Source organism: Homo sapiens, chromosome 11 (genome assembly GCF_000001405.40).
Source record: "Homo sapiens chromosome 11, GRCh38.p14 Primary Assembly".
Lineage (NCBI taxonomy): Eukaryota > Metazoa > Chordata > Mammalia > Primates > Hominidae > Homo > Homo sapiens.
The window spans coordinates 27,654,391-27,666,934 of NC_000011.10; the positions used below are offsets into that span (position 1 = coordinate 27,654,391).

General features: G+C 40.7%; 1 protein-coding gene and 1 long non-coding RNA gene across 22 annotated transcripts in view; one reads left to right on the top strand and one right to left on the bottom strand.

The window, feature by feature from the left end:
• Positions 1-12,544, top strand: part of BDNF-AS (BDNF antisense RNA) — a 191,320-nt gene that overhangs the window by 147,539 nt on the left and 31,237 nt on the right. For all 5 annotated transcript variants that reach the window (NR_033312.1, NR_033315.1, NR_033313.1 and 2 more), the window contains 2 exons: positions 3,851-4,072; positions 4,781-4,838. This is a non-coding gene — a long non-coding RNA (BDNF antisense RNA). The remainder of the gene's footprint in view (positions 1-3,850; positions 4,073-4,780; positions 4,839-12,544) is intronic.
• The window catches only part of BDNF (brain derived neurotrophic factor), a 67,138-nt gene continuing 55,096 nt past the window's right edge, over positions 503-12,544 (bottom strand). For 13 of the 17 annotated variants that reach the window (NM_170731.5, NM_001143805.1, NM_001143806.1 and 10 more), the window contains 1 exon segment: positions 503-4,195. In NM_170731.5, the coding sequence (NP_733927.1) occupies positions 3,431-4,195 (765 nt within the window). In that variant the 3' untranslated portion in view covers positions 503-3,430. 17 annotated transcript variants of the gene reach the window in all.

Genomic DNA, 12,544 nt, shown 5'->3' on the forward strand with positions numbered 1-12,544 from the left:
TTCCAAACCGAGGATATGTGACCTGTCTCCAAATATTGAATTTCTTTTTTTACTTTTTTCCCCAGTACTTGACTTTCTAAATTTGGGCCAATTTATTCTCATTATCCCTAAGTAAACCTACTTTGATTTTTTTTAACAGTTATTTTATAGTCAAATAGAGCCAGCCAGCCAGCCGTGATTCGTGGATCCTGATGTTGCTAGGATACATGGTTTGGTATCTGATGAAAGTATATCACTTCAAAGGGGTAAAACTTTCAAGTGTCCGAGAAAATGACACTCCCATCTTCCACCATGGAAGACAGATCCAATCCTACAACTTCTCAGAAGCTCACAGACTGCAGGATTGGCCTCCCAGGCTTTCAAATAAGTATCCTCTCTGGAGGGCTGTTTAATTACTAAAACTAGTCAGATTAGTCTTAAAGCAAGGAACACACGTATTTATAATAAAACACGTTTTCATGTTTGTTTTACAGTAAAGAGAAAAAAACCCAGAACCCCCAGATTTTATGTACTTTGAAAATATATTTAAAAACATTAAAAATTCTATATTTAAAACATATATTATATGTTAATTAGTACACTTAAATAGAACTTGTATTTACAATAGGCTTCTGATGCGGTTAAGTTTTAATGCCAATTTTTTTCAATAACATAATTATATAAATATACTAAAATACAATAAATATTGTTTTTTGTTTTACATGGTGAATAATATCTTTACCATAGAGAGAACAAGGCCACAGACATTTACTTACATTTTCAATGGGAATCGCCATAAAAAAGCAACAGGCCTGCTGCCATGCATGAAACACTTCTGCCACAAAGAGACCACAGCAAGACTTTAAAAAACAAAACAAAACAGAACAAGAACGAACACAACAGAGAGAGATTTTAACAAAATAAATCTTAGGTCAACATAAACCATCAAGCATGTGACTGTGATGTATCTTATTGGGTAAAAGAGCCACTGACCACACAATTGCTGGATGTGTCTCCTATGAAACCACTTAACAGATCTGGCCCTTGCAATCCTTTAAGTTTGTGATGGGGGGTTGTTTGTTTTAAATTTGTCCCTCAAAAGGAAGCTGCATAAAGTTGACATACAGCAGATATTCCAAGCATTCCTTACATATTAAAAATAATTACAAAGATAATATTTTCAAACAACACAAAACAAATCTACACTACGTAAAGTCTTCCTTCTTTCAAAGAGGTATTCAGATGGTACTGTGAAAGACTAGCTCTAAATGAAAGACTGAACAAATTGAAATTCTTTGCTGATGGTATCTTCATTCCTGGGTTATGGTGAACATCCTCTTTTGCTTATCCCTCACCCTACTAAGATGCAGCAATTGCTTGGGGCTTTCTGATACTTAAGGATGCTGGTCCAAGTGGTGATCACTAACATTTTCAGGTGTGAAATGGGCTGAATGGGCTTAGAGCTCTAGTTTTCACTGGGGATCCATTTTTCCAAGAACCACTATTTCAGGCTCCCAACTTGACTTCTCCTAACCCAAAATGGCAGAGGTGAGGCAGGGACCCTCTCCATGAACAGACAGGATGGGCAGAAGGTTGCTGTGGCCTTCACTGGGGAGCAAAATTTTGTCAGCTCTGTCCTGGCCTCTTCCATTGAGCAAGGCACCTTCAAGTCTTGGTGTTCTGAATGTCCAGACACCTTCCCGAAGTCTTGTCTCTGGACAAGATTTCCTATGGGTCCCCTTGATCATTCGGCCTGAGTTTGGGGTTTCTTTTCCTGTTCCCTTTTCCCTTACCAAAAGTTCTCAAAAGATAAACCCTGGTTTCCTCAAGTCTAGTTTCAAAGCAATAAGTGTTCAGGTAGCAAACATCTTCTATCTCATTGCATCAATCTCATGATCACAAATGCCACATTTGGCTCCCAACCTGCTCCAGGCTAATCCAATTTTATGCAAAATTATCCAGAGGTGGGATGGTGGGCATAAGTCGGCTTGAGTGTGGTCCTCCAGTCGAGAACCTCTTGAGCACAGTTAGATAATGTAGGCACTTAAAGCACGAGGTCCAAGCAGCTTGACACATGTCATTCCAGAGCCACCTCTGAAGGGTCCTTCAGAGGCCTTCGTTTTGGAATGTCTCAAATACCATGCCCCACCTCCACCTAGACCTTGGGATGGCCACTCAGAAATTCCTCCCGCACTGCCGGTAAATGCAATGCCAACTCCACATAGCCTCCATTTGGCTGTTCAGTCTCATGTCACTGGCAATGTGGATTCCTGTTCTGATCTAGGTGTTTCTGGGTTGATACAGGGCTCTACCTTTTGCTTACAAGACATTGTTAAGCCTCACCATGAGTTTTTTTTAAGCTTAGCCATGATTTACCCAAATGTTCACTCCTCATAAAAAATAATCTTCATTTTGGGGTTATTTTTTGTTGTTTTCTGTTCTAAAAAAAAATCACTGTTCTCCATGCTTATACGAGTGTCATGATGTGACACAATGTGTTCACTTGTTCACAGCAGTGGTAAAATATTTCAGAACGCGCAACTGATTTTTCTTCCTTAAAACAAAACAAAGAGGAGACCAGAGGGGGAGGGGGGGAAAGAATGTGTTCTGAGCAAACATAGGTCCTTCCGTCAAAAGCAGCTTACTCTGACCAACGCCCAAAGAATGAGCGGGGCCTGGGAGGTGCATCACGGGATGTGGAGTGTGAGCATTTTTTTGTTCAGTTGCCTTAATTTTTATTCACTTTCTAGTCATCTGATCGATATTGCAAACATCTTCACAACATACAAATGTATCTTTTATCAGCCAGAATATATATTGTAGGAATTCTTTCCCCATCTCTACTCCCTGTGGGAACTAAAAAACAAAACAAACAAACGAAAAAAAAACACAAAACAAACAAAAATATACCCCCCATCCCCCATCCCCTAAGCCAGTAAAGCAATGACAACAGCACCTTGACATTGTTTTAATTCCAACGCTATCAGAAGTTAAAAGCAGTAAAACAGATATAGTACTAACAAGAACGAAGATACTTACTGTCTAAAATGTAAACGGAATGTTTTGGTTCAAATTTTTGTTGTGTGTGTGTGTGTTTTTTTTCTGTTTTCTGAAAGAGGACAGTTTATTATCAATTCACAATTAAAGCAGCATGCAATTTATTATTTTTTTTAACTTTTTATGTTTTCAGTTCTTGGCAACGGCAACAAACCACAACATTATCAAGGAATGTAATGCAGACTTTTTAAGTTGTGCGCAAATGACTGTTTCCCTTCTGGTCATGGACATGTCCAATAAATAGATTGTAGAACCACTGTACTGTATAAACTTCATTTATACATGCAGTTCATAAAATTATTTTTTTCTTAACTGAATAATTTACCCTGTTATGTATATATACAAATAGATAATTTTTGTCTCAATATAATCTAATCTATACAACATAAATCCACTATCTTCCCCTTTTAATGGTCAATGTACATACACAAGAAGTGTCTATCCTTATGAATCGCCAGCCAATTCTCTTTTTGCTATCCATGGTAAGGGCCCGCACGTACGACTGGGTAGTTCGGCACTGGGAGTTCCAATGCCTTTTGTCTATGCCCCTGCAGCCTTCTTTTGTGTAACCCATGGGATTGCACTTGGTCTCGTAGAAGTATTGCTTCAGTTGGCCTTTTGATACAGGGACCTTTTCAAGGACTGTGACCGTCCCGCCCGACATGTCCACTGCAGTCTTTTTGTCTGCCGCCGTTACCCACTCACTAATACTGTCACACACGCTCAGCTCCCCTCGGCGGGCAGGGTCAGAGTGGCGCCGGACCCTCATGGACATGTTTGCAGCATCTAGGTAATTTTTGTATTCCTCCAGCAGAAAGAGAAGAGGAGGCTCCAAAGGCACTTGACTACTGAGCATCACCCTGGACGTGTACAAGTCTGCGTCCTTATTGTTTTCTTCATTGGGCCGAACTTTCTGGTCCTCATCCAACAGCTCTTCTATCACGTGTTCGAAAGTGTCAGCCAATGATGTCAAGCCTCTTGAACCTGCCTTGGGCCCATTCACGCTCTCCAGAGTCCCATGGGTCCGCACACCTGGGTAGGCCAAGCCACCTTGTCCTCGGATGTTTGCTTCTTTCATGGGGGCAGCCTTCATGCAACCAAAGTATGAAATAACCATAGTAAGGAAAAGGATGGTCATCACTCTTCTCACCTGGTGGAACTGTAGGGAGAAAGCAGAAACAAGACAGAAAACTGGTTAGGGCTTTCTTTCACCGGGATGCCATGTGGCCCATCTGATTGTAATTCCAGGCCATTCTGCAGGGTCAAGGTTTTTTTATGTCTTGGTGATAAACTCCAGCTGCACCAGACACAAATCAGTGTCAGTAGTGTGCTGTATGTGGTTTAATATAAACCAGAGACATGCAGTGTTTCCCCCAAGATCTAGCATATAAACCTGAGATTAGATGGCTTCTAAGCAAGTGCAAAAATTGTGGCTTCAAGTTCTCCTTCTTCCCACTTTAGCAGCTTTGTAAGTTTAATTTTTAATGATCTCTGCTCATGCTGTCACGAGAAACACAAAATCATAAATGTTACTAAGCAACAACTGCAAGTGTAATTAATAGTAATTTTTTTCAAGTTAGCAACATGGTCCTTTGCAGGAATGTGTGACAGGAACAGCAGTGGCCTGAGGGGTCTGATGGGCCTTTCTAGCTATGTGATGTCTAGGCATGAATAGCACAATAAAACAGCAGTTGGGGAACTATAAGGAGCCTTTAAATTGACTTTTTTTTTCCTCTTCCCACAGAGATACTCTATTATAGCAAAGAAGAAAGATAATTTCATTGAGCCATCCTGTTTTACAGGTAAGGAAACCAAAGGCCATAGAAGACTTGCCTTATGTCATGAAGAAAGTTTATGTTAGAACTCAGGGCTCCCAATTCCACTGTTCTTTATTCTACACCTGGGTGGTCACAACTGAAAATGTTTTGCTTATTTCTAAACAGAAATCATTTTTTGACATGTTCATTTTAATGATGTGTCTATGCCTGGGGCTAATGTCATGAAAACAATGTGTCTGGTAAGGAGAAAACTGAAAAAGTCAGCATTAAAAAGACATTTAAGTCCATTTCAAATGCCTCCCATATGCAGACTCCACTTTATCTCCTCCAGTTCTCTAAAACCCTTCACTCCTTGGCTTTTTCTGGCTAATACACACATCTAGCTAAGAAAGCTCAACTTTTCTTTTTACTAGAGATGTTCTCTCTGTGTGTGTGTGTGTGTGTGCGCGCGCGCGTGTGCGCGCGCTCTGAGTTTATCCTACTTTTAAAAAGCTGAGTGGTGTTTTACACATTTTGGAATAGGCAGCTAGTGCTTCTTTTTCTGCTTTTGAAGTTTCCTGGGAAGTCCCTTAAAAGCATACCACAAAATTAATCTCTTCCTGTTTGCCAGAGGGTTGCTCTACTCTAAATTTGGCTCTACATCTACAAGCATGCTCTAGGAAGCCAATTAAAATGGATGAACAAGCAAAATGAAAACATACCTATGGACCAACCCAAGGTTACCGTCAGGTGGTGAAGGACTTCAGAATCACTTACCTGAAGCATTGTGTTTCTCAGCAGCAAAGAGTAGCATCCCCAGCCCTGACCCTAATTTTATTCCTACTTCTCAGTTCTGAGGCATGGACTTACAAAAAGACACATACATGCAATGGCCATCATGATATCCAAATAAGTAGGAAAAGGAACTGTGTTTCTGCCCATGAAGTTTTACTGAATTCAAAGGCAACCTACCTCCAGTCAATAGGTCAGAATGCAGAAATGGCTGAAAACTCTGGTATTGAAAAGCAAATGTTCTCCACTTTTGTAAGAAATAACATTTTCAACCACTAAGAGACTTTATTACCATCCCTAAACACACAAAAAAATTTCTTTTAGATTTACTCTCACTTTGCACGAATAGCAAACATGCTTAGAACTGCTTAGATTGCACAATGTTCTCAGATTAGGAAGGGAAAATTGGTTTGAATAAAATACAGATGTCTATTCCGCTAACAACTAAATCTTTGTGAATGTTCTGAGTCCTGTACCATCAAAGAAATAGATCGTCCATGGGGGTTTCTATTTCTGGTAGATTGTACTTACACACTGAATGAAAAAGCTTTCTCCTAATATTCCCAGTCCAAATAAAAACAACCCAAGGGGCACCTCTTATTTAGGTCAATAAAAGTTTGCAAATGTGGAATACTTTAGCCATCTACATCACACTGGTAGAGACTTTCTGTGATCAGCTATTTTTTAATACCATATTTAATCAAATCTAAGATACCATCATTGTGAAACTCGACATTTTATATATCACTAAGAAAGCAAAAATGCAGCCTGGGTGACCAGAGTGAAACTCCATCTCAAAAAAAAAAAAAAAAGAATTAATGAACTATAGTTTAATACATATTTACTAAGTGCCCACACTAACTACTTAAAAATGGTCCAAAATACTGAGGCATCTTAAGCTGTTGGAAAATTGTTTTGTTTTCACCACTACAGTAATGAGTCTTTGAATGATACCATTTTCTATACTTGGCTTCTAGTTTACTCTGCCTTTCACTGATCTTATCTTTTTATTAATAACTTTATGAGAAAAATAATTAATGCTTTATATATTGTTCTCTCAGTTCCATGAGCAAATATTTCAGAGGGAAAATTGGCATCTGAGTAAATATTACTTGGCTTTCATTCTGAAGCCCAAACATGGGTATTCCTCAAGCTGAGCATCTGCATAGAATTAGGAATTAACACAATGGTGACAAAGTCCAACCCCACATTGCAAGCCCTGCTCTCTGAGTGGCACTTCTGCAATTCTAACTAACTGTCTACTCACTTGTAAGGCCTTGAAGTTAAGTGGGTGCAACACCAAACTCAATACTTTTTGTTGGAACAGTGGTATCTCCTACCTTTTCTAACAATGGTTCCCTGATATTTTGGGCAACCCAGGCATAGGATAGAAATCCTGGAATCAAGTTTGACAATATATTTCCTGCATAGCCTTCCAATCCAGTCAGTAAAGATGTCCTGTTAATTTTTCCTTTAAAATATTTGTCCTGGCCATCCCTTTTTATCCATCCCACTGCCACCATCTTGGCTCAGCCCTCACCACCTCATTTTGTGACCACAACGTCCCGATGCTGTATCAGACACTCTTTCTGCTCCATTCAACTCTGATGACCACTTCCTGGGTAACCACCCTAATACTATTCTCTTACACAAAAACTGGCAATGGCATTTTTGTTCTATCTGCTCAAATCTAATGTCTTCTCTCTGATACTCAACTCTCTCCAACATCTGCCCTCACCCTTCTTAGCTAACTTTCTCAAACTACTCAATGCTTCATCACTTCTGCTCCGATCAGGACAGAGTCCTTGGAGTGCCGTACACATTACTGCCTCCTGACTTGTTCCATTCCTCTGACAAACTCCTCTCTCCCTCTCACTTGCTGCCAAAATCTTGCTTATCCTTCATGATCCAGTTCAAGCATCAAATCATGCATGCCCCTTTCTCTAATTACTCCAGCATACACTGCCTTCCTTCCCTAAAATTCCACATTACATCTTACGTAGTACTTGATTCCCTTCTCACTTGTTTTGTTTTGTTTTTTTCCCAAGACAGAGTCTTGCTCTGTCGCCCAGGCTGGAGTGCAATGGTGCAATCTCGGCTCACTGCAATCTCCACCTCCTGGGTTCAAGCAATTCTCCTGCCTCAGCAGGAGGTAGCTGGGATTACAGGCGCCCACCACCATGCCCGGCTAATTTTTGTATTTTTAGTAGAGACAGGGTTTCACCATGTTGGCCGAGCTGGCCTACTCACTTGTTAATTGTTAACCGTATTTGCTCATTCTAGTCAGTCTTCAGCTGAAAGGTAAGTTCTTTGAGGGAATGGATCATGTCTGAGCCCCCATAATGCTTAACAGAGAAAAATGTAATAGCAGTACTCAGTAAAAACTTACTGATAGGTTTATTAAACTAAGAGAAAAGACAGTTTGGATATAATTTTCGTAAGAAGCCTTTTCATTTGGAAAGATCAGTGAACCCATTGAAATTCTCAGGTAAATATAGGCTGTGCTAACCCCAAATTATAAACTCTAAGGCAGTGGTCCCAACCTTTTTGGCAGCAGGAACCAGTTTTGTGGAAGACAATTTTTCCACGGTCTGGGAGTAGCAGGGTGGATGGTTTTGGGATGAAATGGTTCCACCTTAGATCATCAGTTAAATTATCATAAGGAATTGGATTCTCATAAGGAGCACACAACCTAGATCCCTTGCATGTGCAGTTCACAACAGGGCTCATGCTTCTATGAGAATCTAATGCTGCTGCTGATCTGAAAGGAGACAGAGCTCAGATGGCAATGTTTGCTCACCCGCCGCTCACTTCCTACTGTGCAGCCTGGTTCCTAACAGGCCAGGGACTGGTAACAATCCATGGCCTGGGTGTTGCGGATCCCTGCTCTAAGGAATTTGACAGATAGCAATTATCAGCCATGACCAACTTCTTGAGTTCCTCTAATGGAATAAAACCTTACTTGAATAATTAAAAAGCAGATAACACTACCACATACTAACTGTCCTACAATTTCCTGTGTAGCTCTATTTCTAACAGATCAATAAGAGACTTGGGAAGTAATAACAATAATAATAGCAAAATTTGTAGTTTTCAGCCTTTTAACTTCTTGTTTCTTATTCTGCTAAGCTTTCAATGAGTAATTTTATATACTGTATTAGGAAATAATAAAAGATTAAGTAAGAGCTTCCAGGACAATTCTTCATTTTCAACCTTCGGATGACTCTTTATCACACATAAGATAAAGAGGCTGTGTAATATTGCTAAGCAGATTATATATTTATTTATACTTAATAAATTCATTGATGCTGTCTAATTCTGCTTTAAGGCTTACAGCCATTAATTCAACCACATCTATAAAATGCTAGGAAGGCTTTCATAGCCCCACTGTCAGGAAATTCAATATAGTACATAGAACTAAAAAGAAAATCAATGAAGTAGATATCAAGTTTAGCTTTAAGTGTGACTCACAAGTCTTAGACATTTCACTGAAAGAATGTCCATAACAACATGCTCTTTTACTCTTGCTGTAGTCATAACTTACATTTGTCTAAGAGACTATAGAACATTCACAGGCGTCATCTAATTTGATTTTTACAAGGAGACAGGATGGGTATTATTATCCCCATTATATAGATGAGGCAATTATGCGTCAGAGAGGTTAGGTAACCTGTCAAATGCCATAAAGCTAGTAGGTCACCTGTCTCCTGAACCAAGCTTTTACCATCAGGATGTGTTGCCAGTTTTAGAATATCAGCCACAGAGAAGAGAGTGGCTGTGACAACGAAGGAGCTTACAAAATGTGGACACTGCAGCTATGTGTGTCCTGGAACCTAACTTTCTAAAAGGAGTGCCATTAAGATACTACTTTGTAGGTCTAGATTAATCATGACCAAGATCCTTCAACTTTAAGGCTTGATTACTTAAATGGATGAAATTTCAGACAATGTGGTCTTTTTCTAAGAGAAAGAACTGCAAAAATTGTAGCATGTTAGAACTAAGTTTCTATGGCCAAAGGTGGGAAAACAAGCAACAGTACAGATAATTCAGGCATACAGAAAAAAAAAAAAGTCTTGTTTGTTCCCAGCCCCTTTGGGTTTTACCTGTGAGCGTGTAATCAGAGAAAACACAGTTTAAAGATATGGCTGCTCATTTTAGACAGTCCTATAAAGATAATGGTAATGCTGAAGAAGTTATTAATATTTGGTTCCTAACATATATGATACAAACTATTAAGAGTTGACCTTAATGAAATCTTGCAAATCAATATTTAAAAATTTTTAATTTGCATCCAGTTGACTATATCCATATGTTAGACTTCCTTTTGTTCATTCATTCATCACACATGAAGTCTACTTTCCAGTCTTACTTACCTCCCTCCCTAGGAGGGAGGTAGGACATACGTAACTAGAATATAAAGGTAGAAATGACCCAGAAAAGGTACAGATACAATTTTATAAAGAGAAAGAAGTTACTTCCAGTTAGGGAATAAAGGAATGCATTGTCAAGAAGGTTGCAAAGGGCCAGGTGCAGTGGCTCACATTTGTAATCCCAACACTTTGGGAGGCCGAGGCGGGAGGATCACTAGAGCCCAGGAATTCGAGATCAACCTGGGCAACACAGTGAGACCATGTCTCTACAAAAACTTAAAAATTAAAAAAATTAGGTGTGGTGGTGCACACCTGTAGTTTCAGCTACTTGGGAGGCTGAGGTGGGAGGATTACTTGAGTCTAAGAAGTTGAGGCTACAGTGAGCGATTGATCATGCCACTGAACTCCAGCCTGGGTGACAGAGACACTATTGCCCTAGGAAAGCAACTGTTTTGCTGTAATCAATGAAGGCTCCCGATAGCCAGAGCCACCCAGAATTCACAGTCACATCGAACCTTGCCCTCATCCTCTGCCTCCTTGTCACAGAGCAACACTGCCCCAGTAGCACACATCTCCAGTCTGTAACAAAGAAGTCTTAGCATCAAGCATACTCAAGCCACTTGGATAGCAAATGAGGTCATCTGAAAATACTTTTAAAGTTTACTTTTTTAAAAAACAGTTTTTTGTTTACAGGACCCAAATGGCAGTTGACATTCCCTGTAAAAGTTTAACCTCTTCAATTAGAATTCTGTTTTCTTTAGAATTTCAGGTGGGATCTGTTACAATTCACTGAAGTTTAGATTTGACAATGTTCTATCTACTATGTTATTGAAACCATATAATATTTACCAAATTCCCATACATGGTAGACAGTGACATTAATTAAGAAGATAATTTCCAATTTGTTCCATGAAGTTTCAGTGACCCACTCTGTAATAAAGAACTTGGAAAGGGAGGTTCCAAGATGGCCAAATATGAACAGCTCCAGTCTACAGCCCCCAGCGTGAGTGATGCAGAAGACGGGTGATTTCTGCATTTCCAACTGAGGTACCGGGTTCATCTCACTGGGGCTTGTCAGACAGTGGGTACAACCCACGGAGCATGAGCCAAAGCAGGGTGGGGCATCACCTCACCCAGGAAGCACAAGGGGTTGGGGAATTCCCTTTCCTAGCCAAGGGAAGCCATGACTGACGGTACCTGGAAAATCAGGACACTCCCCACCCTAATACTGTGCTTTTCCAATGGTCTTAGCAAACGGCACACCAGGAGATTATGTCCCAGGCCTGGCTCGGAGGGTCCCATGCCCACGGAGCCTGGCTCACTGCTAGCACAGCAGTCTGAGATCGAACTGCAAAGCAGCAGCGAGGCTGGGGGAGGGGTGTCCACCATTGCTGAGACTTGAGTAGGTAAACAAAGCAGCCAGGAAGCTCGAAATGGGTGGAGCCCACCGCAGCTCAAGGAGGCCTGCCTGCCTCTGTAGACTCCACCTCTAGGGGCAGGGCACAGCTGAACAAAAGACAGCAGAAACTTCTGCAGACTTAAATGTCCCTGTCTGACAGCTTTGAAAAGAGTAGGGGTCCTCCCAGCATGGAATATGATATCTGAGAATGGACAGTCTGCCTCTTCAAGTGGGTTCCTGACCCCTGAGTAGCCTAACTGGGAGGCACCTCCCAGTAGGGGCCGACTGACACCTCATACGGCCAGGTGCCCCTCTGAGACGAAGCTTCCAGAGGAACAATCAGGGAGCAACATTTGCCGTTCTGCAATATTTGCTGTTCTGCAGCCTCTGCTGGTGATACCCAAGCAAACAGGGTCTGGAGTGGACCTCCAGCAAACTCCAACAGACCTGCAGCTGAGGGTCCTGACTGTTAGAAGGAAAACTAACAAAGAGAAAGAACATCCACACCAAAACCCCATCTGTACGTCACCATCATCAAAGACCAAAGGTAGATAAAACCAATAAGATGGGGAGAAACCAGAGCAGAGAAGCTGAAAATTCTAAAAATCAGAGCACGTCTTCTCCTCCAAAGGAATGCAGCTCCTCGCCAGCAATGGAACAAAGCTGGACAGAGAATGACTTTCACAAGTTGAGAGAAGAAGGCTTCAGATGATCAGTAATAACAAACTCCTCCGAGCTAAAGGAGGATGTTTGAACCTTTTAGCAAAGAAGCTAAAAACCTTGAAAAAACATTAGACGAATGGCTAACTAGAAAAAACAGCATAGAGAAGACCTTAAATGACCTGATGGAGCTGAAAACCATGGCACGAGAACTATGTGACACATGCACAAGCTTCAGTAGCTGATTCAATCAAGTGGAAGAAAGGGATTGAAGATCAAATGAATGAAATGAAGCAAGAAGAGAAGTTTAGAGAAAAAAGAGTAAAAAGAAATGAACAAAGCCTCCAAGAAATATGGGACTATGTGAAAAGACCAAATCTACATCTGATTGGTGTACCTGAAAGTGATGGGGAGAATGGAACCAAGTTGGAAAACGCTCTGCAGGATATTATCCAGGAGAACTTCCCCAATCTAGTGAGGCAGGCCAGCATTCAAATTCAGGAAATACAGAGAATGCCGCAAAGATACTC